Below are 25,860 nucleotides of genomic sequence, written 5' to 3' on the forward strand. Positions count from 1 at the left end.
TGGGAGGTGAGGTGGGGAGATCACTTGAATCCAGGAGTTCAAGACCAGCCTGAGCAAAATGGCAAAACTCTGTCTCTTTTTTTAATTAGCCAGGCGTGGTGGTGCGCACCTGTAGTCCCACCTACTCACAGGGCTGAGGTGGGAGAATCACTTGAGCCCAGGAGTTTGAGGCTGCAGTGAGCTGTGATCACGCCACTGCACTCCTGCCTGGGTGAAAGAGCAAGACCCTATCTCAAAATAAATAAATAAATAAACAAACAAACAAATAAACAGATCAAAACAAAATCCCCCTCCTGCCTTAGCCTGGGTCCTCAGCCCCTCCAGTGACCTGCCTCTCCTCCAAATCCACCTTCCACGTCAAGACACTCCTGTTCCCTTCCTGCTCCCCAGGTACGCAGGGTCTGCACGAAGCCCTTGTGGTTCCCCCCACCCCTCAACCTCAAACGCATCAAGCTGACCACAGCCCTCCCCTAGACAACACCCCGAGTCCTCATGCATGAAATGATGCTCCAGTCCTCCTCAAAAGCAGGGAGATGCAACTAAAACCACACAGAGACAGATGATCGGGCTGAATATCGTCAGCGAGAAGTCACATGACATCACACACCAGCGAGAAGTCACATGACATCACACACCTGCTGACGGGACATCACACACCTGCTGACGGGACATCACACACCGGCTGACTGACAGGATGAGGTGAGAAGGGCCTCTGTGGCCTTCCTCCCCTAAACCCGCAGCCCCACGTAGTCATGAGAAAACCGGCCACAGGGCATCAGGCCAGCACTCCTCAAAACTGTCAAAGTCACGGAAAACAGGAAAGTCCAAGAAACTGTCAGAGACCAGAGGACAATGAATAGAGAGGTGACAACTGAATACAACGTAGAACCCCGGCACAGAAAAGCCTTAGTTGGAAAAACTGGTGATGTCCAAATAAAGCCTGGAGTTTGGTAAACAGTAACGCAGCGGTGTCAGAGAAGCAGTTGTGGCCAGTGTCCCATAGGGAAGTAGATGCTGGGTGACAGTAAATGGGAGCTCTCTGTATTAATTGTACCAATTTTCTGCACATCTCAAGCTCTTTTTTTTTTTTTTGAGACAGGGTCTCACTCTGTCAACCAAGCTGGCATGCAGTGGCGCAATCTCAGCTCACTGCAACCTCCGCCTCCCAGGTTCAAGCAATTCTCATGCCTCAGCCCCCTGAGTAGCTGGGACTACAGGCGTGTGCCACCACGCCTGGCTAACTTTTTGTATTTTTGGTAGAGATGGGGTCTCACTATGTTGCCCAGGCTGGTCCCAAACTCCTGACCTCAAGCGATCCGCCTGCCTCGGCCTCCCAAAGGCCAGGGGTTACAGGAGTGAGCCACTGCACCCGGCCATAAAAGATTTTTTTTAAACCCCATAACCAATGCCATGATATCATGATATCATTTGTCACCCATCCACCAGGCAAAGAGCAAAATGTTGGTAACACACACAGAGAGCTAGCCTGGGTATCGATAAACTGAGGCTCCTGCAACAGAAACGGCCAACCAAATTTAACATGAACAAGTCCAGCAACTCTTCCTCCAGAAATGTGTGCTGGCAATAACCCCCACATGTGGCTGAAATGACAAAATGACAAGCACATGGGGTATTCACTACAGCGTTGCTGGTAACAGCAGAAGCCTAGTCCGCCAGCAAGGCAAGGGTACCAATCAGGGATGGTCCCTCCCCACAAGGTACTGAAACGAGGAAGAGTTTTATTTGGAGAAATGCAATCACCACCAAGATATACTATCATGTTTAATGAGGCAGGAGAGTGTTTGTAGTGTGCCACCATTTGTGTATGGTGAGAGAAGAAGATATCCTTTTTTTTTTTTTTTTTTTTTTAGGAGTCTTGCTCTGTTGCCCAGGTTGGAGTGCAGTGGCGCGATCTCGACTCACTGCAACCTCCACTTCTCAGGTTCAAGCACCTCTCCTACCTCAGCCTCCCAAATAGCTGGGATTACAGGCGCCCACCACCACACCCAGCTAATTTTTGTCTTTTTAGTAGAGATGGGGTTTCACCACGTTGGCCAGGCTGGTCTCAAACTCCTGACCTCAAGTGATCCTCCCGCCTCGGGCTCCCAAAGTGCTGGGATTACAGGCATGAGCCAAGGTGCCCGGCGTTTTTTTGGTTTTTTTTTTGTTGTTGTTTTTAAAGACAGGTTCTCACTGGGTTTTTTAAAGACAGGTTCTCACTGGGTTGCCCAGGCTGGAGTGCAGTGGCATGATCATAGCTCATTGCAGCCTGGAGCTCCCAGGCTCAAGCGATCCTCCTGCCTCAGCTTCCAGAGCAGCTAGAACTACAGGTGTGCACCACCACACCTAGCTAATTTTTTTATTTTTTGTAGAGACGGGGTCTCAGTATGTTGACCAAGCTTGTCTCAAACTCCTGGGCTAAAGCAATCCTCCCACCTTGGCCTCTCAAAGCGCTGGCATTACAGGCATGAGCCATCATGCCTGGCCTAGTATTTCTTTATATAATATGCAAAAAATGTCTCCAAAGGCATACATAAGAAACTTAACGGTCGGTGTTTGTCGGGAAGGGAACCAGGTGGACTAGGGGATGGGGTGTGACAAACACTGGTCACTTTTACACCCTTGCTGGTCTTTTGTATGTTAAGCCATAGTAATATTACATATTTACAAAATACATACTTTTTTAATTAAAAAAGAAAGTCTCCTCTGCAAACCTGTCTCTGCCCTCCCCAGGCCTCCATCCTGGGTCCTTCCCGCCTCTGGGTAAAGGTGATGTCATCACAGCCCTTTGTGTTCCTGCCCAGCACCTGGCCCTGGGACCTTCCCTGTTTGCAGAGTGATTAAAGCTTCTAATTATTTCTATTTGGTAAGAAGACGTTCCCTTTACCACTCCCACTATATCAACCCCAAAATTTGCACTAACAACATCCTATTTGTCAATATAAAGTTTTTTTTTTCTCTTTTTTGAGACAGAGTCTCATTCTGTGGCCCAGGCTGGAATGCAGTGGCGTGACCTTGGCTCACTGCAACCTCTGCCTCCCAGGTTCAAGCGATTCTCCTGCCTCAGCCTCCCAAATAGCTGGGATTACAGGTGCATGCCACCACGCTCAGCTCATTTTTTTATTTTTAGTAGAGACAGGGTTTCACCATGTTGGCCAGGCTGGTCTCGAACTCCTGACCTCAAGTGATCCGCCCACCTCGGCCTCCCAAAGTGCTGGCATTACAGGCGTGAGCCACTGCACCCGGCCTAAAGTTCTTTTTTTTTCATGTTGCACTATGATCCAGTTTTCCTCCAGGGGGTTCTAAACACCAATGGTGGACAAAGGATTGAGAGATGTGGACCCTCCCTTGCCGGCCTTATGGGACCCATATAGGGAGGCAAAGTCAACCAACAGGGGCAGATGTGGGAGAGATATGAAGGGGAGACTGGGTATAGTTTCTTTTTTTGTTTTGGGAGGGGTACGGTTCCTAGGAGCGAGTGGAGGATCTGGGGACAAGGGCAAGGGGGCAGATCTGGGTACAGCGGGGACAGACACCCAGAAGCCATGTACCTGTGTCCCGTGGGGCAGGTGAGTAGTGCGGGGCCAGGAAAGTGAGGTCGTGTTACAGGAGCCTTCACATCACAAGGTGGGCACCAGCGCCTGGGTTTATGGGGGACCCCACCAAAGGGGCTTCTATTTCAAAAACCAGCAGTCCAAGAACAACTTGAAAACCCCCAGGGGGATTCAACTCCTGCCAAGAAGGAGAGTTCAGAGTCTAAAAATAAGCTTCAAAACCGAGAATACCAAGAGAACCACCCACCGCAGAAGCCATCCCAACAACTCGCGGTCAGCGTAAACACACATCAAAGGTCTCACGGCCCACGGCCAAGGGTGTCTTCTCCCGAGAACACAAAAAACCAAGTTGAAACACAGCAGAAACCCCAGTCTCCATAGCTTCTGGTGTTGCTTCATTCTGACCCACAGCCTCTGTAAACATTCCCCCGAAAAAAGTATCTTAACCTTTTTCTTTTCTTTTTTCTTTCTTAAACTGAACTTTGTTTTACAATCGGGGTCTCGCTGTGTTGCCAAGGCTGCAGTGCAGTGGCGCAATCATAGCTTACTACAGCCTTGAACTCCTGGGTTCGAGTGATCCTCCCACTTCAGCCTCTCGACCAGCTGGGACTCCAGGCACATGCCACCATGATTAGCTAGTTTTTTTAATTTTTAATTTTTTGTAGAGACGGGGTCTCACTATGTTGCCCAGGCTGGCCTCAAGTGATCCTCCCAAAGCGTTGGGATTACAGGCATAAGCCACTGCACTCAGCCTTAATCTTTTTCTAAAATCGATCCCAGCTGGGCACGGTGGCTCATGCCTGTAATCCCAGTGCTTTGGGAGGCCGAGGCGGGTGAATCACTTGAGGTCAGGAGTTCGAGACCAGCCTGGCCAACATGGTGAAACCCCATCTCTACTAAAAATCCAAAAATTAGCTGGGCAAGGTGGTGCATGCCTGTAGTCCCAGTTACTCCAGAGGCTAAGGCATGAGAATTGCTTGAACCTGGGAGGTGGAGGTTGCAGTGAGCTGAGATCGCACCACTGCACTCCAGCCTAGGCAACAGAGCAAGACACTGTCTCAAAATAAATAAATAAGTAAATAAATAAATAAATTCCCATATTCCCCTCTCCTTTCTTACAATCTGCAAAAAAAAAAAAAAAAAAAAAGAGAGAGAGAAAGAGAAAAAGAGAAAGGAAAGGAAAAATGCTTGTGTCCACATCTGTGGTTCTACACGGTCCCAGGCTGCCAACAGTCCAACATGGGGCTGATGGCGGCTCCATCCCACCAACACAATTTGCTACTTCAAAGCCTCTGAGGACTTGGACACCAGCAGAACCCAGCGTGCAAGGACTCTGTGTAAAGTAAGAGTTCATAGTTGCCGTGGGCGCCTCCTCTGAGTGAGGTAAACAGGCTTGGGCATCTGCTTTGATGATAAATATATACCTTATTTGGGAGTCTTCTATTTGCTTACTTCCTTTGTTCTGGCCAAATTCCAGATGACTGCAGGTAGTCCAACTGTCTGTCTTTGAAAATTCCAGAAAACAGCAATCTTGCCTTTAGCAAGACTTACGGATAATGTGGGAACAGGGTGGTGGTGGACATTGCCTGTCAAGCGCTTTTCATGCCTGTTTCACATCCCCTGGCTGACACCACATGATCTAGCCCTTGATGACATATGTCTTCCTCCTGCATCCTAATTGCTTCCTGTCTGCAAGTTAGCTTCTATTAATATTTCCCTAACTGGACCATATTACGTTACTCTCTGCCCACCCCAGGGGAAGGGATGTGATCTATATTTCCCCACGAGGGCTTGAGAAAGCCAAGTGCATCTGACATCCTTGCACAGCTGAGGTCTCCTGTGCCCATATGGCACATCTATCCCATCTATGACAGGGTATCTATGGCATCAGCTCATTAGAAGTGTCTATTTTTTTTTTTTTTTTTTTGAGACGGAGTCTCCCTCTGTTGCCCAGGCTGGAGTGCAGTGGCACAATCTCGGCTCACTGCAAGCTCCACCTTCCAGGTTCAAGCAATTGTCCTGCCTCAGCCTCCCGAGTAGCCGAGATTACAGGCACCCACCACCACGCCCGGCTAGTTTTTGTACTTTTAGTAGAGATGAGGTTTCACCATGCTGGCCAGGTTGGTCTCGAACTCATGACCTCAAGTGATCTACCCACCTCAGCCTCCCGAAGTGCTGGGATTACAGGTGTAAGCCACCACACCTGGCCAGAAGTGTCTATTTTTTAAACAAGAAAAGACAAATCTTCCTCACTGACAAATTCCAAATAGTATGAGTAGATACTCCCTCTCCAGGGGATGCACTTTTATTTTATTTTCTTTTTTTGAGACAGGGTCTCACTCTGTCACCCAGGCTGGAGTGCAGTGGCACCATTGGCACCATCATAGCTTACTATGGCCTCAGCCTCCTGGGCTCAAGCGATCCTCCTCCCTCAGCCTCTCGAGTAGTTGTGACTGCAGGTGTGCATCAACAAGCCCAGCTAATTTTCTATTTTTTGTAGAGATGGGGTCTTGCTCATTCCACTATTTCCAGGCTGGCATGCAATGGCTTGATCGTAACTCACTGCAGCCTTCAACTCCTGGGCTCAAATGATCCTCCCACCTCAGCCTCCTGAGTAGCTGGGGCTACAGGTGTGCACCACCACACTCAGCGATTTTTTTTTAACTTTCCATAGAGATGGGGGTCTCAATATGTTGCTCAGGCCGGTCTTAAACTCGTGGGTTCAAGTAATCCACCCGCCTCAGCCTCCAAAACTGCTGGGATTATAGGCATGAGCCATGGCACCTCGTAGGAGGTGGAATTTAATCTCTCCCTTTCCTCTCCTGTGTGTGGGCTGGACTCCTTGACTCTCTTTCAAAGAACAGAGTCGCCAGGCGTGGTGGCTCATGCCTGTAATCCCGGCACTTTGGGAGGCCAAGGCGGGTGGATCACCTGAGGTCGGGAGTTCGAGACCAGCCTGGCCAACATGGGGAAACATGTCTATATACAGGCACATGCCTGTAATCCCAGCTACTCAGGAGGCTGAGGCAGGAGAATTGCTTGAACCCAGGAGGCAGAGGTTGCAGCGAGCCAAGATCGCACCATTGCACTGTAGCCTGGGCAACAAGAGCAAAACTCCATCTATGAAAAGGGAAAGACAGTAAACTACAAGCGAGAAAATCTGGCAAATACCTCCTTTTCACTCTCTCTCTTGATATTAATTAACATCAGGAATACTTTACTCTCTCCCTTGATATTAACATCTGCAATGTCATGTGCATGTCATGTGCCCTCTGATGTGACAGGATGAGAAGGACACTTCACCTCCGTGGTCTTCTCCTCCCAGAACCCACAACCCCACTGTAATCATGAGAAAAATATCAGACAACCCTGATTTGAGGGAAATTCTACAGAATCCCTCATCTTCAAAAAGTATCTAGGTTATGAAAAACAAAGCAAGACTGAGAAACTAACATAGCCAGGGTGGCTGAGGAGACAAGATGACTAAATGCAATGTGGGGCCGGGCACAGTGGCTCATGCCTATAATCCCAGCACTCTGGGAGGCCGAGGCGGGTGGGTCACCTGAGGTCGGGAGTTCGAGACCAGCCTGGCCAACATGGGGAAACCCCATCTCTACTAAAAATACAAAAATTAGCTGGGTGTGGTGGTGCGTGCCTGTAATCCCAGCTACTCGGGAGGCTGAGGCAGGAGAGTTGCTTGAACCCGGGAGGCCAAGGTTGTAGTTAGCTGAGATTGTGCCATTGCACTGCAGCCTGGGCAACAAGAACAAAACTCTGTCTCAAAAAAATAAAACACAGTTTGGGAGGCCGAGGCAGGTGGATCATGAGGTCAGGAGATCGAGACCATCCTGGCTAACACGGTGAAACCCCGTCTCTACTAAAAATACAAAAAATTAGCCGGGCGCGGTGGCGGGCGCCTGTAGTCCCAGCTACTCGGGAGGCTGAGGCAGGAGAATGGCGTGAACCCGGGAGGCGGAGCTTGCAGTGAGCCGAGATTGCGCCACTGCAGTCCGCAGTCCGGCCTGGGCGACAGAGCGAGACTCCGTCTCAAAAAATAAAATAAAATAAAATAAAATAAAATAAAATAAAATAAAATAAAATAAAATAAAATAAAATAAAATATATCAATGCAATGTAGTACCCTAGGTTAGGACCCTGGCCCAGAAAAAAAGGACATCAGTGGGAGAACTGGGAACTCCAGATAAAGTCTGGAGTTTGGTGAACAATAACATACCCTCATCAGTTTCTTGGTTTGACAAACATACTGTGTGATGTAAGATGTGAATAATGGAGAGAACCAGGAACTGGGTGAGGAACTCCCTGTACTAACTTCACAACTTTCTTGCAAATCAAAAATTATGCCAAAATTAAAAGTTTATTTAAATACTTTCAGGGATCCCACTTATAAATGAGTCAGATAGGTGATGGGGCTCAGGACACACTACCCCAAAATATGACTGCAGGAGACTAGAACATGTCACCTCAGGATCTATTTCTTTGGCATATATTGAGCTGATTATTCTGAGAAACTGCAGACACAGGAGCAGCTCTGAAAAGCTGCCCTTTGATACAATAAATTGAAATCTACAGGTTGATTATCCCAAATGTGAAAATCCAAAATCTGAAACTTTTTGAACACAGACATGATGCTCAAAGGAAATGCTCATTGGAGCATTCTGGATTTTGGATTTTTGGATTAGAGATGCTGAACCAGTAAGTAGAATGCAGTATTTCAAAATCTGAAAAAAAGATCCAAAATCTGAAACACTTCCGGTCCCAAGCATTTCAGAGAAGAGATACTTGATCTGTGTAAAGGAAAGTGACTATCATAGGACCCTCATCAACCAGTGAAGTTTTTTTTTTTTTTGAGACGGAGTCTCATTCTGTGGCCCAGGCTGGCGTACAGTGGTGTGATCTCAGCTCACTGTAACCTCTGCCTCCCAGGTTCAAGTGATTCTCCTGCCTCAGCCTCCTGAGTAGCTGGGATTACAGATGCCCACCACCACACCCGGCTAATTTTTGTATTTTTAGTAGAGACGGGGTTTCACCATGTTGGCCAGGCTGTTCTTGAACTCCTGACCTCATGATCCACCCACCTTGGCCTCCCAAAGTGCTGGTATTACAGGCGTGAGCCACCGTGCCTGGCTGGAAGATCTTAACTTAGGAGAGGAGACTGAAGGTCGACACCTGGTCACAAGCCATCACCTGCTCTTCTGAGGCTACTCTGAGACAACTTTCATCATTCAAGAGGCTTTTTATCTGCATTAACAAGGCAACCTTTGTTCACCATACATTTCCTCCCCTTACCCTTCTATAACCTATCACCACCTGCCTCCAGGAGCCCCAGGCCCCTATTCCTTTTTCTTTTTTATTTTGAGACAGGGTCTTGTCTGTCACTCAGGCGGGAGTGCGGTGGCACTATCTCGGCTCACTGCAGCCTCGACCTCCCAGGCTCAAGCGATCCTCTTGCCTCAGCCTCCAGAGTGGCTGGGATCACAGGCATGAGCCACCATGCCAGACTAATTTTTGTATTTTCTGTAGAGACAGGGCTTTGCCATGTTGCCCAGGCTGGTCTTGATCTCCTGGGCTCAAGCGATCCTCCTGCCTTGTCCTCCCAGAGTGCTGGGATTACAGGCATGAGCCACCACGCCCAGCCGCTTATTCCTTTTTCGTAGCTCAGGCACACTACATAAACTTCAATTATCTGACCTTGCTTTGAGTTTCACTTTCTGTGGGACTCCCACATTTATGCATGGAATAAATTTGTATGTATTTTCATCCGTTAATCTATCATCAGTTTATTTCATAGGCTCAATTATGGTACCTTCAGAAGGCAGAAAGAAAGTCTTCTCTCTCCCCTACATAGGCCAAGAGTAAGAAAAACTATAAGGTGAAATGGAATAGGCAGGTCTTACCCCAAAGCACTCAAGTTCAATTTAAAAAAACAAAATTTGAGTGCTTTGGGGTGAGGCTCATGCCTGTAATGGCAATACTTTGAGAGGCCAAGATGGATGGATCACTTCACTCCAAGAGTTTGAGACCAGCCTGGGTAACATGGCGAAACCCTGTCTCTACAACAAAAAACCACTAAAATTAGTGTGGTGGCTGAGGTGGAAGGATGGCTTGAGCTCGAGAGGGAGGTTGAGGCTGCATGGAGCTGTGATCACGCCACTGTACTCCAGCCTGGCCAACAGAACAAGGCCCTATCTCAAAAAATATATAAGTAAATAAAGTATATTTTGGTTAAATGCCAAAGACTAAGTGGGGGGTAAAGGAGAGTTTCTGACACTTCTAACTGATGAGGTGAAAAATAAAAAATAAAATAAAATAAAAAGATACCTAGAATTTCAGCAAAAGAACAGGTTTTAAAGGAATCTCCCAAACTCTGCCCAGCTGAATGCATATTTACACCTGACCACAAGTCCGCACTCCCCTCGAAAGGTATTTCACAGCTTCCACAAAGGAAGGACGACAAAATTGAGCTCACAGAAGTAGAGAAAAGAACTGTGGTTACTGGAGGTTACAAAGGGGAGGGGAAGAGAGGCTAGAGAGAGGTTGGTTGATAGGTACAAAGTTACAGTTCAATGGGAGGAATAAGTTCTACTGTTCTGTAGAACTGTAGGGTGAATATGGTTAACAATTATTCAGTGTATATTTTCAAATAGCTAGAAGAGAGAATTCTGAATGCTCACAACACAAAGAAATGATAAGTGTTTGAGGTGATGAACATGCCAATTACTCTTTGATCAATTACACACTGGAGACATATAAGAAAATATCACTCTTTATCCCATAAATGTGTATGATTATTATGTGTCAACTAAAAATAAAAGAGAAAATGGTCAATGGCTTTTTAAAGGGTTTGAAAACAAGAGCAAGATATAGTGAAATATCTATTTCACTCACAACGGAAAAAAAAAAAAAAAAAAAGAACTCCCCACAAAGCTTTAGCCACATGTGGGTGGTAAACTCTTCTAAAAATATATCCTCAAGCTGTGTATAGAACTGTTTTCTACATTTGGGTATCAGATCAACACATAAAAGGGCAAGGCCTTCAGAAAGATAAAGCGGCTTTTTAACTACCAACTTAATCCTCGAAGATCGATTCTTCCAGGAAGAAAAAGGAGAAATATTCAATTCTACTCTGGTCTCCATCTCCCAGCCCCCAGAAAAGAAACACTAAGCTAGGCCCATGAATATGTATATCGCAGAAATGACCCCAGAATAAAAAAAGGGATTCCTTAGGCAAAAGAAGGGCACTCACATGCAAATTGTCAGGTCCCCTAAGAAAATAGCCTAGTTTGTAAACAAGAAAGAGAACCAGCTGCGAGGGTCAAAAAGGTCTGGTCTTTTAGGGTCTCTGGAGAAAAACGTTATTTCCAATAATGGGAGCACAGTGGATCCTGACTATAATCAACTTTCAGGAACTATCCAAATTGTACACTTATTAAATTGAATATTGCTTAAAATTCTTAAACTAAGGAGGGTCACCTGGCAGGTTTTAAGCTACAATAATTCTGCAATACGGTTTTTGTTGTCATGGAATTTAACCTGTCTATCATTCCTGAAAATGTTCAAGGTGAATGGTGCGTCTTAAGCCATAAATGGTTAAGCAGGAAGGTAGACAAAAGGGGAAACCCGGACCTCCAGCTCTTTGGGAAAGGAAGCGAGAAATTGGCCTTTGGTTATTTGATCCCAAACAAATTCCAGTTTCAGTAGACCTCAGTAAAAGTACAGAAGCTCAGAGTGAAATATTTCAGAGAAATGTGTGCCAATTCCATCTTCTGAGTTCAGGCTGTTTCTGCAGGGCGGTATGTCCCACAAGTCAAAGATAAAGTTACCACAATCTTAAAGCCAGGTTCAAGCATGGCGTAATGACAAATCACAGTGATTTGTGGAATGGAAAATGCTTCCATCGGGGAGTTGGGCTGCTCCCCCACAATCAGAGTGGGCAGTTTTCCTCTGGACTCCTGGTGAAACCACATCCCTAGTTTCCACGTGAATCACAGTTTTTCATCAAACAGTGCAAGGAGATCATTAATAAGACTGAGACTGCATTAGGATACAAAATTGTATGAACGCTGATGACAATTTCATAGAAAACAGGCACAAAGACAAAAGACAGAAGCCGCCCGATAAGGACAGCCAGTGGTAGTTGTTTCGTTCTATAAGATTATGCCTTTCTTCTTTATCTTCCACACTTTAATATTTTTTAATAAAAAATTTCAAACTATCAGTGCATCATCTAGGAATAACCTCATGGATTCAAGTTTAAGGCAAGACATCATTAAGCTCTTAAACTTACCTGAGGCACACTGTCAATTAAATCTAAGGCTCCATGAGCTAAATAGCTTAAATTCTCCAACATTATTTTCTCTGAAGCCTCCAGCTTTGGATCCTGGTATATAAACTCCTACCTACTGCGAGGTGAGCAGAGAATTACCATCACATAGACACCCTCCAGAATGGTTCCTTTCTTGTGTCCATGCCTTAAGCTCTATGAAATTACACAATTCTTCTACTGAAATAACCTGCAGCCAAGGGACAACTTCATTAGCTACAAAGCTGTTGTCACCTGTGTCCAGAGTGTCAATCAATACAGGCTCAAACAACAAGATGAAATTATGAGGACCCTGGAAAATGCCACTTGACCTCAAATAACAATTCTTAGGCAAGTAAACATCAATCAAATTCAGAACAGACCATGGGTGGCCAAACAGACCCGGGAGACGTCAAAAATATGTGTGCTAAAGAAACACAGAACTAAGGAAGTCTATTTACCTGATAGACCGCCTCACCCACGGGGCTATTTTCACTGCTGTAAAAGCGAAAACAAATAGAGGACAAGTCACAGTGCCAAGAATACAGGACTTCCTCTTGCAGATCCTCTTTTTTCCACCCTCACTGTAGCTCTGGGGAAATTCCTATTCAGTGGGAGAAGTTTAAGTCACAAAACGGCACCAGCCCATTCTCAAAGTGCTATTATACACCTCTGAGCAGTGAGGATGGGTAATGTCAGCAAAATATGCACTGTTTATTTTCTTGAAAATTAACTTGGGCTGGAAACGCCTTCCAGCTCCTTCCTCTCAGTGGATTTTCCATTTACTGTCTTCAACCACCTGGGCTTGTCTGTACCTCTTCCACAGCTCTACTGAGACCCTCCTGTTTGTCTGAACTATGTCCTCATGTTCCTTCTGCCACATGTGCTCAGGCCTCAGTTTTTCCATGAAACTTTCTCTAACTTAGCTGCCTCCTTTCCACTGTTCTCAAGCCCTTTCTGGAGTTACAAGGGCATTAGCAAGCACCAGCTTTTTCGCCGGTGTGTGTTTCTACTTTCTACCCATTGCGTAAACCCCTCAGGACCAGGAGCCATTCTTCTGCATCCTTTACACGGCAAGGGTAGCGCTTTATTTCTCAACAGCCCGCCCATAAAAGGAACGGAAGTAACAAAGGGAAATGTATTCCCCAAAGACAGTGAATTACACTTCAATCTACTATTTTAGAGACTTAAGAAATGGGCCGGGTGAGGTAGTTCACACCTGTAATCCCAGCATTTTGGGAGGCCAAGGCAGGTGGATCACTAGAGGTCAGAAGTTCGAAAACAGCCTGGCCAACATGGCAAAACTCTGTCTCTACTAAAAATGCAAAAATTACCTAAGCATGGTGGCACCCAACTGTAATCCCCGCTACTTGGGAGGTTGAGACACTAGAATTGCTTGAACTCAGGCAGGGGGTTGAGGTGGGGTGGGGAGGGTTAGAGGTTGCAGTGAGCCGAGATCGCACCACTGCACTCCAGCCTAGGCGACAGTGAGACTCTGTCTCAAAAAAAAAAAAAAAAAAGAAAGAAATTGATCCTACGTCTTAGATCAATCACCCAGTCACTTAATCTGTGAAAACATTACAAGATACTTTCTCAAATGTGAATAAATGCATCAATTATTCATGCCTTAAAGTAACAGGAAAGAGGGAGATGGGCCTCCCTCATGGTAGATTACAATTAAATGTTTCTTAGAGAGTTTGGTGCACATTTAGTTCCCAGAGCAAGGGCTGGTGGAGAAGAAAGCCAAGTGCAATATGGGTGTTACTCTATGCCAGGTAAAGCAAGTCACACGCCATCTAGATCCTGCTCCAACTGATAAAACCAAAACACTGGTGGAATTCCAGATACCAGCCTGCACTTCTCTCTGTAGGCATCTGGGTTAGTCCTAAATAGGAAGTCCTAAAAAGAGTCACTCTGAGAAGGCAGGGGGTGAGAGGGCAGATGAAGCAGCCAAGCACACATTAAGGCAAATCATGGCTTTCCTAAAGAGGACCCCAAGCTGGGCTTCAGACAGTCTTTGAACCAGCACCAGTGCACCAGGCCAAGGGGAGGGAGGCATCCTCTTTGGGAAGACTGGTAGGAGCTTGGAAGACCCCGTGGCTTCCACAAACTGTAGATTTCCCAGTGACCACTGCTCAGTCCAACAGCCAGTGACATCAGCTCCACTGTCGGGAAGTAGAAAACCAGTGAAGGTCCAACTAGCCTGGTCCCTGAAGCATGACTGGCCCTTCCAGAACATACACCTTTCCCCTATCACCTCCTCTCCCTGACCCCGAAGAGCTTCGGGCACACCACCAACTGACCACCTATCCACAGTGACCTGCAAACCAGAGCGGGGAGGGTATTTGCCTAGCTTGGCAGGGAGGGGCGAGATCCACTTCTGCCACCAGTCACCAGCTGGTCCCACCAGCACCTACCCAGCACCGGCGGTGGACGGTGAGCGGCGTCTGGGCCCAGAGCTGGGTGCCATCAGCAGTAAGAGGACCCCTGCGCTCGCGGGGTGCCCGCCTTACCCCGCGGGGAGGGGTCAGGCCTAGGGGCCACGGCCCGCTTCGCTCTCTGATTTTCACCTCCCCAGGGTCTCCCAGGGGCCTCGGGTGTCCTTCCCGGATCTTGCGCGAAGTCGCGGGGGCAGGGAGAGAAACGCGGGTACCCGCGCCCCTAGAAGTCAAATGTTTGGCAAATAGCATTTGGGAATTCGTTGGGGTTTTTTTGTTTGTTTTGGTTTTGTTTCTGAACCCCCGGGGGATATTTCTGGAAATCTCAACCTGAGTCACTAGAGAGAATCGCGCCTTTTTCTAAAAAGCCCAGGGGCCGTCCTCTCCGGGGAGGGGGACGCGGCGGGCCGCGAAGGGCGCTCGTTCGGGTGGGGGCCGGACGACCCCGCCACGCGCGATCGGGCCACTCTGGGACGCAGGAGCTGAACCCAACCGGAGACGCGGCCGGGACCAGCGCTGGGAGGCCGGACCCCGCCCCGGCCGGGCCCCCACGCCCTCCGCCGCGCCTCGATGCCCGCGACCCGACCCGCGCCCCCTGGCATCCCAGGAGGCCCCAGCCAAGGGCTCAGTGCCCGGGGCCCCCAGCAGGTGCTGGCGCCACCGGCCCCCCGCTGTCTCCCGCTGGTCCCCGCGCCCCGGCGTCCCCGCGCCGCACTCACCGCCGCCCGCGCCGCCTGTCGAGCCGGGAGGTCTGAGCTGGCCTCTCGGGCGCCCCGAGAAAAGGGCCGGGCGGCGGGGACGGGGGCGGGGGCTGGACCCGCCGGGGCGGAGCGCGGCCGGCTTGGGCTTCCGGCTTCTCCCGCCCCCGCGGCCCGCACCTGGGCCCCAGGCGAGACCACCGCCGGTTCCCCGCCTCACTCTGATCGCCCCCAGGCTCCATCCCACACCCGGCTCGCTCGCCACCCCAGAGCTTCCCAGGCTTACCCCCGAGACGCCTGGCGCGGACCTGGTGTCTCCCCCACTCTCCTATCCTGCCCCTGCCTCTCGGTGCCAGCCCCACCCGTCCGCCCCCGACAGCCTGGCCCTCCCTCCTGATTTGCCGCTCGCGGCTCTCCCCACTTTCCCCCCTCCCCGCGCCGCTCCACCACTTCCAGGCGGCGGGACCACCAACCTCGACCCCGGACCCGCGCTGGGGCGCTCCCGGCCCTCTGGAGGGCGGCCCTTCTCTTCCTGTAACTCTACAGACGCGTCCGGACAGACCAAGACACTCTCTGTGCCTTCGGGCATGTTACCCATCCTCTCTGAGCTCGGCTTCCTGTCTGCAAAATGGGCACAATAGCGGTCCTGTCTCCTAAGACCGACTGGGAGTGAACTGGGAAGATGGTAAAGTTTTTAGCACAGGATAGGTATTAGGTAAGGCTTATCAGCTGCCTGTCCGCTTTGTGCCCCCAGGGTGGTCCGTGCCGCCAGGTAGGCCTTTCTCAGCCATCACTGAAAGCAAGCTCTGGAAATCAGTAGCCCCATTTCACATCCGCCCCTAAATGGGTGCCATCTGCCCGTCTGCTTGGAGCCCCATCGGCCGGCTGCAGTGATAACAGCAGCAGCCTGGATCCAGCAGGCTCTCTGGGAAATCATTAGAGGGAATTAAGAAGCATGCCTGGCTTTCAGAGTACACAGAGTCAGGAGATGGGCAGAACCATGATGTGGCCATCCACAAACAAACGCCATTTGGACAGGGAGCTTCCGAGCCCCATGCTGGCAAAGACCTGGATCTTAGAACCCTCCGGTGCCCAAATCCCATGCCTTTACCCGAGGTCCTAAAGATAGTGAGGCCCAGATAGGGAGTGTGGCTTGTCCCGGGTCCCTCAGCAAAGTGTCCCCAGCCCCAAGTTCTTGCCACCTTGCGCCATGTCCACTGACGGGCCACCCTCAGCCGTGGACGAGTTACCAAGTTGGAAGGGATTTCAAAGTTCTCCCAAGCATAGGAGGTTCCCATGTAGATGTTATTAGTGTGGGCAACATTTTACTGCTTTTAAAATATGAAGGGGGCGGGTGCAGTGGCTCTTGCCTATAGTCTCAGGACTTTGGGAGGCCATGGCCAGAGGATCTCTTGAGCCCAGGAGTTCAAGGCCAGGCTGGACAACATAGTGAGACTCCATCTCTATAAAAATTTTTTTAATTAAAAGAATAATAATAAAGCGGTGGAGTGGTGGCATGTGCCAGCTACTCAGGAGGCTGAGGTGGGAGGATTCCTTGACCTCCGGAGGTTGAGGCTGTAGTGAGCTATAATCGAGCCACTGCACTGTAGCAAGCAAGCAACAAAGAAAGAAAGAGGGAAAGAGGGAAAAGAGAAAGAAAAAAAAAAGAAAGAAAAAGAAGAAAGAAAGAGAAAGAAAGAAAGGGAAAAGAAAGAGAAGGAAAGAAGGAAGGGAGGGAGGGAGGGAGAAGAGAAGAACAGGAAATTGGATTACACCCAACCTCTGCCATTCCTCCATTCTCAGGATGCAACCAAGGCTTGCAAAGGTACCAATTATTATACTGACATTAAGACAGAATATCACAGACCATTGCTAGGGAGACATAACACCTAGGGAAAATCTCTCAGAGATAACGTTCAAGAAACATCCCTGTATGAATGCTTTTCTTCCTTCCTTCCTTTCTGTCTCTCCCTCCCTCCCAACCTTTTCTCCTTCCTTCCTTCCTTCCTTCCTCCCTTCCTCCTTTCCTCCCTTCCTCGCTTCCTCCCTTCCTTCCTGTAAAAAGCAGTAGTAAGCCTGAATTTTCTTCTGTCCTTTACTGAATACTACCACATCTTCATTTGTTTTTCTTTCCCCAACTGCTGAGCAGCAACAGGAGCCAGCTTTGTGTTTTTATCCATCCTAAACACTTACCACGGCTGTGAGCTTGCAATTATTTATGGGGAGAGCTATAAGACTGTAACTCTTTTCTTTGATCCCCAAAAAACCACAGAGATTGAATTTCCAACCCAAGGCTTCCAACCAGGGGGTAAAAGTAAACTGGGCCACGTGATCATCTCAATAGACGGAAAAAGCATTTGAAGAAATCCAATAATGCTTTCATGATTAAAAAAATAATAATAAACTAGAAATAGAAGGGAACTTCCTCAACCTTAGGGCTTCTATGAAAATCCCAGAGCTAATGACACACTTAATGGTAAAAGACTGGAAGTTTTACCCCTAAGAACAGGAACAAGCCAAAGTGCCCACTCTGGCCACCTCTGTCCAACATTGTCCTGGAGGTTCTGGCCATTGCCATTAGGCAAGAAAAATAAAAGCATCCAGATTGAAAAGGATAAAGTGAAGCTATCTCTATTCACAGGTGATATGATCCTATATGTAAGAACCCTAAAGAATGTACTAAATACCTATTAGAGCTAATAAACCAGTTCAGCAAAGTTGTGGGATTTAAGATTAACATACAAAAATCAGTTGCTTTTTTTTTTTTTTTTTTTTCGAGACAGGGTCTCTGTCACCCAGGCTGCAGTACAGTGGCTCGATCACAGCTCACTGCAGCCTTGACCTCCTGAGCTCAGGCGATCCTCCCACCTCAGCCTCCTCAGTAGCTGGGACTACAGGCATGTACCACTGTGCCCAGCTAGTTTTTTTTTGTAATTTTTTGTAGAGATAGGGCTTTGCTATGTTGCCCAGACTGGTCTCAAACTCCTGGGCTCAAGCCATCCACCTGCCTGGGCCTCCCAAAGTGCTGGGATTACAGGTGTGAGGCACCACACCCAGCCAGTTGCATTTCTATATACTAGCAATGAGCAATCCAAAAATGAAATTAAGAAAATGGCTCCATTTACAATAGCCTCAAAAGGATAGAAGCTGGGTATGGTGGCACACACCTGTAGTCCCAGCTACTCAAGAGGCTGAGGCAGAAGGATCCCCTTGAGCATGAGAGTTTGAATCTAGCCTGGGCAACATAGCGAGACCCCATCTCTAAAAAAAAAAAAAAGAGAGAGAGAGAATGTAATACTTAGGAAAACGCTTAACTAAGGAAGTTCAAACAAGACCTATACACTGAAAACTACAAAACATTGCTGAAAGAAATTAAAGAAAACTAAATAAATGGAAAGACATTCATGGACCAGAAGATTTAATATAGTTAAAGTGGTATATCAGTCAGAAATCTTTCAAAGAAAGAGAGAGGAGATATATACATATATAGATGGTACCAGACTTAATGATGGTTCAATTATGATTTTTTGACTTTATGATGGTGATACACATTCAAAAGAAACCGTACTTCAAGTACCCTTACAACCATTCTGTTTTTAACTTTTAGTATAGTATTCAGTAAATTACATGAGATATTCAATACTTTGTGATAAAGTATTGAATTAAGTAAAGGAGACCGTCTCCTTTACCTGAAGTCAACTAAAATAAACCACATCTGCAAAATACTTTTACAGCAACATCTAGATTGGTGTTTAATTGAATAACTGGGTACTATAGGCTAGCCACGTTGATGTGTAAAAGTAATGATCACAAATGGCAATACTTCCCAAACTGATGTACGGGTCCAATGTAATCTCTGTTTTTGTTGTTGTTGTTTTGTGTTTTTGAGATAGAGTCTCGTTCTGTTGCCCAGGCTGGAGTGCAGTGGTACGATCTCGGCTCACCGCAAACTCTGCCTCCTGGTTTCAAGCGATTCTCCTGCCTCAGCCTCTCGAGTAGCTGGGACTACAGGTGTGCACCACCAAGCCTGGCTAATTTTTGTATTTTTAGTAGAGACAGAGTTTCATCGTGTTGGCCAGGCTGGTCTCGAACTCCTGGACTCAAGTGATCCACCTGCCTCGGCCTTCCAAATTGCTGGGCTTTCAAGTGTGAGCCACCGTGCCCGGCCCAGGTCCAATGTAATCTCTATCAAAATTCCAGCTGCCTTTTTTGGCAAAAATAGACAAGCTGATCCTAAAATTAATATGGAATTACAAGGGATTTCAAATAGCCAAAACAATCTTGAAAAATAACAAAGTTGGAGGATCCACTGTTTCTGTTTTTTACACTTTGTTTTTGAGACAGAGTCTTATTCTGTTGCCCATTCTGGGATGTAGTAGTGCCATCATAGCTCACTGCAGCCTCAAACTCCTGGGCTCAAGCGATCCCTCCCACCTCAGCCTCCAGAGTGGCTGGGACTACAGGTGCGCACCACCATGCCTAGCTAATTTTTAAATTTTTTGTATAGATGTGGTCTCACTATGTTGCCCAGGCTGGTATTGAACTCCTGGGCTCAAGTAGTCCTCCCACCTCCACCTCCCAAAGTGCTGGGATTACAGGTATGAGCCACTGCACCTGGCCCACACGTTCTGATTTTAAAACTTACTACAGAGATACAGTAATCAAAGCATGTGGTTCTGGCATAAGAATAGACATATAAATCAATGAAATAAAATTGGGAGTCTACATATAAACCATATATCTATGATCAATGAATGCCAAGACCATTCAATGGAGAAAGAGTCTTTTTTTTTTGAGACAGAGTCTCACTCCGTCACCCAGGTTGGAGCGCAGTGGCGTGATCTTGGCTCACTGCAACATTCACTTCCCAAGTTCAAGCAATTCTCTTGCCTCAGCCTCCCAGGTAGCTGGAATTACAGGCATGCACCACCACAGGCTGGTCTCAAACTCCTGACCTCAAGCGATCCGCCCACCTTGGCCTCCCAAAGTGCTGAGATTACAGGCATGAGCCACTATGCCCAGCTGAGAGTCTTTCTGACAAGTGGTGCTGGGACAACTGGATATCCACATGTAGAAGAATGAAGTTGGATCTCTACCTCACATCATATACAAAGGTTGACTCATACAACTCTTAGAAGGAAACAACAGCATAAATCTTCATGACCTTGGATCTGACAATTGTTTTATAAATATGAAAACAAATGCACAAGCAATAAAATAAGAAATAAATAAATTGGACTTCATCAGAATGGAAAACTTTTGTGCGCCCAAGGACACTATCAGGAGAGTAAAAAGACAACCCACAGAAGAGGAGAAAATGTTTGCAAATTATATATCTGATAAGGGTCTAGTATCCAGATTATATAAAGAACTTTTACAACTCAGCAATAAAAAAACAACAAACAACCTAGTGTAAAAATGGGCACTGGGGCTGGGTGCGGTGGCTCACGCCTATACTCCCAGTACTTTGGGAGACTGAGGCGGGCGGCTCACCAGAGGTCAGGAGTTTGAGACCAGCCTAACCAACATGGTGAAACCCCATCTCTACTAAAAATACAAAAATTAGCCAGGCATGGTGACAGGCACCTGTGGTCCCAGCTACTTGGGAGGTGAGGTGGGAGGATCACCTGAGCCTGGGAGGTCAACACTGCAGTGAGCAGAGATCATGTCACTGCACTCCAACCTGGATGACAGAGCAAGACCCTGTCTCAAAAGAAAAAAAAAAAAGGGCAAAGGACTTGAGTAGACCTTACCCCCAAGAAAATACACAAATGGCCAAGAAGCACATGAAAAGATGTTCATCATCACTAGTCAGCAAGGAAATACAAATCAAAACCACAACGAGATACCTCTTTATACTCACTATGATAGCTACAAAAAAAAATTTGGGGTCGGGCACGGTGGCTCATGCCTGTAATCCTAACACTTTGGGAGGCCGAGGTTGGCAGATCACTTGAGGTCAGGAGTTTGAGACCATCCTGGCCTATGTGGCGAAACCCCATCTCTGCTAAAAATACAAAAATTGGCCGGGTGTGGTGGCTCACGCCTGTAATCCCAGCACTTTGGGAGGCCGAGGTGGGTTGATCACGAGGTCAGGAGATCGAGACCATCCTGGCTAACAAGGTGAAACCCCGTCTGTACTAAAAATACAAAAAAATTAGCCGGGCGTTATGGCAGGCGCCTGTAGCCCCAGCTACTCAGGAGGCTGAGGTAGGAGAATGGCATGAACCCCGGAGGAGGAGCTTGCAGTGAGCGGAGATTGCGCCACTGCACTCCAGCCTGGGCAGCAGAGTGAAACTCTGTCTCAAAATAAATAAATAAATAAAAATAAAAATACAAAAATTAGCCGGGCATGGTGGCAGATGCCTGTAAACCCAACTACTCGGGAGGCTGAGGCAAGAGAATCGCTTGAACCCAGGAGGCAGATGTTGCAGTGAGCCGAGATTGCGCCAGTGCTCTCCAGCATGGGAGACAAGCGAAACTCTGTCTCAAAAAAAAAAAAAAAAAAAAAAAAAGTTAATGGAAAATAAATATTGGTAAGGATGTGAAGAAATTGAAACCCTCAAACATTGCTGGTGAGAACATAAAATGCTATAGCTACTGTTCCACTCCAAGGTATATACACAAAAAAACTGAAAACAAGTACTCAAGTGAAAACTTGTACGAGAATGTTCATAGCAGCACTATTCCCAATAGTTAAAAGGTAGGGATAACTCAAATGTCCATCAGTGAATGAATGGACAGACAAAAATGTACTATATCTCTACCAGGAGTATTGACCATAAAAGAATTGAATGATTTGGCCATAAAAAGGAACAATGCATTGATGCTTTCCACAATACACAGGGACCTCAAACACATTTTGTAAAATGAAACCAGACACCAAAAACCACATATCTATTATTCCATTTACATGAAATGTCCAGAATAGGCAAATCCATAGACAGAGAAAGTGGATCCGTGCTGAAAGGATTGGGGGGTGACTGCCCAAGAGTATGAGGTTTCTTTTTAGGGTGATAACAATGTTCTGGGCTGGGTGCAGTGGCTCATGCCTGTAATTCCAGTACTTTGGGAGGCCAAGGCAGGCGAGTTGCTTGAGGTCGGGAGTTTGAGACCAGCCTGGGTACCATGGTGAAACTCTGTCTCTACATTAAAAAAAATATATACAAAAATTATCCAGGCATGGTGGCGCACAGCTATAGTCCCAGCTACTTGGGAGGCTGAGGTGGAAGGATCACTTGAACCTGGGAGGCAGAGGTTGCAGTGAGCCGAGATGGCGCCACTGCACTTCAGCCTGGGTGACAAAGTGAGACCCTGTCTCGAAAAAAAAAAAAAATTCTAGAACTAGATACTGGTGGTGACTGCAAAACACTACATGCCAATGAATTGTACAGTTTAAACTAGTTAAAATGTTAAACTTCATTACAACAACTGTATCCCAATTTTTTTTTTAACATAAACCAGGCATCTATGTGGGCATAGCAAGAGGAGGCCAGGCAGGCTATGGTTTTATAGGACATCTGCCAATACCCCAGGAATCACACGGACCAGAAAGGAAGATGCTTTTCCTCTGGGTGTACTCTGAAACTTCAGACATGAAGTGGCCACAGGAGGAAAAACTGGTTCCCTAAAAGAATGCAGACTATGATCCCACTTATTTTGTTAAAAAGAAAAAGAAATACACACACACCTGGAGGAAAAGGTTTCCAAGGAAAAAGAATGCTATAGAGGCTGGGCGTGGTGGCTCACACCTGCAACCCCAACACTTTAGGAGGCTGAGGCAGGTGGATCGCTTGAGGCTAAGAGTTTGAGACCAGCGTGGTCAGCATAGTGAAACCCTGTCTCTACTAAAAATACAAAAATTAGCCGGGCATGGTGGCTCGTGCCTGTAATCCCAGCTTCTTGGGAGGCTGATGCAAGAGAATCATTTGAACCCAGGAGGTGGAGGCTGCAGTGAGCCAAGATCATGCCACTGCCCTCCAGCCTGGTCAACAGAGCAAGACTCCATCTCAAAAAAATAAAAAAAAATAAAATAAAGTAAAATAAAAATAAAAATAAAAATAAAATAAAGGCTATAAATAGTTGTCTCTGAGTGATGTAATTAGGGAATTTTTCGTCCTTTTGCTACTGTCCATTTTCTAATGTTTCAAGAACAAATGCAAGTTGCTTATTGAAAAAAACTAATCTCCAAAACAGGAACCCAGTTGCCAGTAAACAGCCCCCACTGACTGGTCTGTGTTACCCATTAACGACCAATTCCGGTCACTCATGTTTCCATAACACCTTTCCATTTCTAAAACATGTTTCCCACATACATCACACGCTTTATCCTCAAAAAAGGTCCATGCAGCTGGGATTCTTCCAGCTGAGTTATGCAGATGGGGAGCCTGAGGCCAGGAGGACAGGAGGCTTGCCTGAGGTTACACCCCCAACCCCAATTCTGGCTCAGTGGCCTGGCCCTGACCCTGGCCAAACGCTTTGTTTCTGCTGCTGCCAAGATGGAGCTGAAACGGGGTGAGCTCATGGGCAGAGGGAGGCTTTAGGGAGTGTTACTGGATCTAGCACATAACTATGAAGGATGCCGGCTGGACACGGTGGCTCAAGCCTGTAATCCCAGCACTTTGGGAGGCCGAGGCGGGTGGATCATGAGATCAGGAGATCGAGACCATCCTGGCTAACACAGTGAAACCCTGTCTTTACTAAAAATACAAAAAATTAGCCGGGCATGGTCGGGGACTCCTGTAGTCCCAGCTACTTGGGAGGCTGAGGCAGGAGAATGGCATGAACCTGGGAGGCGGAGCTTGCAGTGAGCTGAGATCGTGCCACTGCACTCCAGCCTGGGCGACAGAGTGAGACTCCGTCTCAAAAAACAAAACAAAACAAAACAAAAAAACAGGTAAAACTATGCAGAATGCCCAGTTAATCTGAATTGCAGAGAAGTAGCAAATGCCTGTTGGTCATTTGTATAAGTATGTCCCAAATGCTGTGGATTTGTAATATGTCCCTATACTGTGTAAGACATACTTATACTAAACAATCATTTGCTATTTCTTTGGAATTCAAATGTAACTAGGCATCCTGGGTTCCATCTAGTAGTGCTCCCCGTGAGATCTGCCTCTGGCCAGGACAGGATATCCCAGTGAGCAGGCGGCCTGGCTCCAAGTCCATGGACAGTCCCTGGTCACCGTCTGGGGGTGATGGCACCTGCAGCCAGTGGCACAGGTAGAGGCCCAGGTGAGCTTCCCAAGCACTGTAATTAATGGGTCAACCCTTCCCCTCGGGGTGTGGGACCATCCCAGAACTGGCTAGGCCTCAGTCTTCACCACGGCCAGGAGAAGCAGCCCAGCCGGATAGCAGGTGGGGCCTTTCCAGCCTGCCCAGAGTGAGGCCCGGGTTACCTGCTTCAGGGCAGGGGCCCTGTAAACCGCAGGAAGAGCGTGTTCTCAGGATGGGAGGCCTGATCCACTTAATAATGACACACAGGTGTCCTCTTGGCCACAGGGATTGTGCTGCATGACTGTGTTTCTATTTAACAAAACATACCCAGGTCACAGCAACTGGCATCTGATGCAGAATGAAATCCCAATAGAGGAGGAGGAGGAGGAAGAGAGAAGTAAGGGGAGGAGGGGGAGGGGGGAAGGGGAGGAGGAAAGGAGAAGAAGGGGGAGGAATGGGAGGACAGAGAGGGGAGGAGGCAGAGGGGAGGAGGAGGGGGAGAGGAGGAAGGGGAGGAGGGAGGAAAGGAGGAAGGGGAGAGGAGGAGAGAGGAGGGGAAAAGGATGAGGGGGAGAGGGAGGATGTGGAGGGAAAAAGGAGGGGAGGGGGAAGGAGCAGGGGGAGAGGGAGGAGGGGGGAGCGTGAGAGTGAAGGAGAAGGGGAGGAGGAAGAGAAGAAGGGAGAGGAGGAGGGGGAGGGGGACAGGGGAGAGGGGGAAGGGACAGGAGGAAAGAAGAGGGGGAGGAGGAGGAGGTGGTGGGGAGGAGGAAGACAGTGATGGGCACACAAGCTGAGTACCCACTGGGTGCCAGGCCCTGGAATGTAAAAGCACTTTTACATCCACCATCTCATTTTCTCCTTACAACAATCCAGCTGTTTTACAGATTAGGCAACTGAAGCCCAGACAGGTAAAGTAACATGCCTCGAATCACAGAGCAAGAAGGTGACTACAGGTAAAATTTGCACCAGGTCTGGCTGATTCGTGAAGTTGTCAGGCAGCTTTCTCACCCTCTCAGGTGATGTGTCCTAGGAACCAGGCACCATTTCAGGAGCTAGAACTGGGGTAACAAGATAGCGGTCCCAACTCCCCTGGAGTTTATATTCTGGTTAGGAGCAGGGGAGGAAAAATCCACAATAAACAAGTACCCTGTGACTTTGGGGTCATCTACTGGCACTTTCTCTTCCTTGTAGCCTCCAGGAAACACACGTCTTCATAACACAGAAGAATTTCATTCTTTGAGCTCCATTCCACAACCCACTGGGGGTGTGGGGAGAGGCTGGGCAGTGGAGTGCGGGTGGAGCATGAGTCATAGAATTATAGTCGCCTAACAAACAGTCACAGTCACATAGGCCACCAGACTCCTCTCTCCCAGCAACCCTATAAGGGAAATATTATCATCTCCGCTTTACAGACTTAGCAATACAGGCCCAGAGAGGTCAGGCAGGTTGTCAAAGGTCACACAGCCAGCACATGGCAGCAGTAGGATTTGAACCCAAGCTGTCTGGCTCTACGTCCATGCTCAGCCCCCATGCTGTGGAGAGCTTAGAGCTTTCTAGATGGCCCAGATCTGTGACTTTCTGGCCACAGAACCTAAGAACCTTCCCTTCCAAAACAGTGTCCTACAGAGCCCAAC

At 47.7% G+C, this 25,860-nt stretch overlaps 1 protein-coding gene across 11 annotated transcripts in view, besides 12 other annotated features; it reads right to left on the bottom strand.

Moving 5' to 3' along the window:
- Positions 1-25,860, bottom strand: part of LITAF (lipopolysaccharide induced TNF factor) — a 92,596-nt gene that overhangs the window by 24,133 nt on the left and 42,603 nt on the right. The window contains exon 1 of one of the 11 annotated variants that reach the window (NR_024320.2): positions 15,484-15,612. The exons of 5 other annotated variants lie outside the window; for them this stretch is intronic. The gene's annotated coding sequence lies outside the window, so the exon portion shown is untranslated. Of the gene's footprint in view, positions 1-3,551; positions 5,139-14,291; positions 14,358-15,031; positions 15,097-15,296; positions 15,330-15,483; positions 15,613-25,860 lie in introns of those variants that run through there. 5 more of the 11 variants (XM_006720982.4, NM_001136473.1, NM_001136472.2 and 2 more) reach the window with 5 other exon arrangements.
- Positions 131-1,068: an enhancer, noted in NCBI's record as "H3K4me1 hESC enhancer chr16:11665841-11666778 (GRCh37/hg19 assembly coordinates)". NCBI's record gives its function as "activates a minimal SCP1, AML or CMV promoter by ChIP-STARR-seq in naive and primed H9 embryonic stem cells {active_cell/tissue: H9 hESC(naive and primed)}" and the evidence as "EXISTENCE:reporter gene assay evidence [ECO:0000049][PMID:30033119]".
- Positions 219-513: a silencer, noted in NCBI's record as "tiled region #1740; HepG2 Repressive non-DNase unmatched - State 14:Gen5', and K562 Repressive non-DNase unmatched - State 22:ReprW". NCBI's record gives its function as "represses a minimal TATA promoter and a strong SV40 promoter by Sharpr-MPRA in HepG2 and K562 cells {active_cell/tissue: HepG2 | K562}" and the evidence as "EXISTENCE:reporter gene assay evidence [ECO:0000049][PMID:27701403]".
- Positions 433-482: an enhancer, noted in NCBI's record as "active region_10447". NCBI's record gives its function as "activates an Ori minimal core promoter by ATAC-STARR-seq in GM12878 lymphoblastoid cells {active_cell/tissue: GM12878}" and the evidence as "EXISTENCE:reporter gene assay evidence [ECO:0000049][PMID:35858748]".
- Positions 493-542: an enhancer, noted in NCBI's record as "active region_10448". NCBI's record gives its function as "activates an Ori minimal core promoter by ATAC-STARR-seq in GM12878 lymphoblastoid cells {active_cell/tissue: GM12878}" and the evidence as "EXISTENCE:reporter gene assay evidence [ECO:0000049][PMID:35858748]".
- Positions 553-622: an enhancer, noted in NCBI's record as "active region_10449". NCBI's record gives its function as "activates an Ori minimal core promoter by ATAC-STARR-seq in GM12878 lymphoblastoid cells {active_cell/tissue: GM12878}" and the evidence as "EXISTENCE:reporter gene assay evidence [ECO:0000049][PMID:35858748]".
- Positions 810-1,052: a silencer, noted in NCBI's record as "fragment chr16:11666520-11666762 (GRCh37/hg19 assembly coordinates)". NCBI's record gives its function as "represses an EF-1alpha promoter that drives an FKBP-Casp9 reporter gene in an ReSE screen in K562 erythroleukemia cells {active_cell/tissue: K562}" and the evidence as "EXISTENCE:reporter gene assay evidence [ECO:0000049][PMID:32094911]".
- Positions 2,659-2,953: a silencer, noted in NCBI's record as "tiled region #2706; K562 Repressive non-DNase unmatched - State 22:ReprW". NCBI's record gives its function as "represses a minimal TATA promoter and a strong SV40 promoter by Sharpr-MPRA in K562 cells {active_cell/tissue: K562}" and the evidence as "EXISTENCE:reporter gene assay evidence [ECO:0000049][PMID:27701403]".
- Positions 13,819-13,928: an enhancer, noted in NCBI's record as "active region_10450". NCBI's record gives its function as "activates an Ori minimal core promoter by ATAC-STARR-seq in GM12878 lymphoblastoid cells {active_cell/tissue: GM12878}" and the evidence as "EXISTENCE:reporter gene assay evidence [ECO:0000049][PMID:35858748]".
- Positions 14,829-14,908: a silencer, noted in NCBI's record as "silent region_7204". NCBI's record gives its function as "represses an Ori minimal core promoter by ATAC-STARR-seq in GM12878 lymphoblastoid cells {active_cell/tissue: GM12878}" and the evidence as "EXISTENCE:reporter gene assay evidence [ECO:0000049][PMID:35858748]".
- Positions 14,939-15,418: a silencer, noted in NCBI's record as "silent region_7205". NCBI's record gives its function as "represses an Ori minimal core promoter by ATAC-STARR-seq in GM12878 lymphoblastoid cells {active_cell/tissue: GM12878}" and the evidence as "EXISTENCE:reporter gene assay evidence [ECO:0000049][PMID:35858748]".
- Positions 23,059-23,932: an enhancer, noted in NCBI's record as "H3K4me1 hESC enhancer chr16:11688769-11689642 (GRCh37/hg19 assembly coordinates)". NCBI's record gives its function as "activates a minimal SCP1, AML or CMV promoter by ChIP-STARR-seq in primed H9 embryonic stem cells {active_cell/tissue: H9 hESC(primed)}" and the evidence as "EXISTENCE:reporter gene assay evidence [ECO:0000049][PMID:30033119]".
- Positions 23,933-24,804: an enhancer, noted in NCBI's record as "H3K4me1 hESC enhancer chr16:11689643-11690514 (GRCh37/hg19 assembly coordinates)". NCBI's record gives its function as "activates a minimal SCP1, AML or CMV promoter by ChIP-STARR-seq in primed H9 embryonic stem cells {active_cell/tissue: H9 hESC(primed)}" and the evidence as "EXISTENCE:reporter gene assay evidence [ECO:0000049][PMID:30033119]".

This window comes from Homo sapiens, chromosome 16 (genome assembly GCF_000001405.40).
Source record: "Homo sapiens chromosome 16, GRCh38.p14 Primary Assembly".
NCBI lineage: Eukaryota > Metazoa > Chordata > Mammalia > Primates > Hominidae > Homo > Homo sapiens.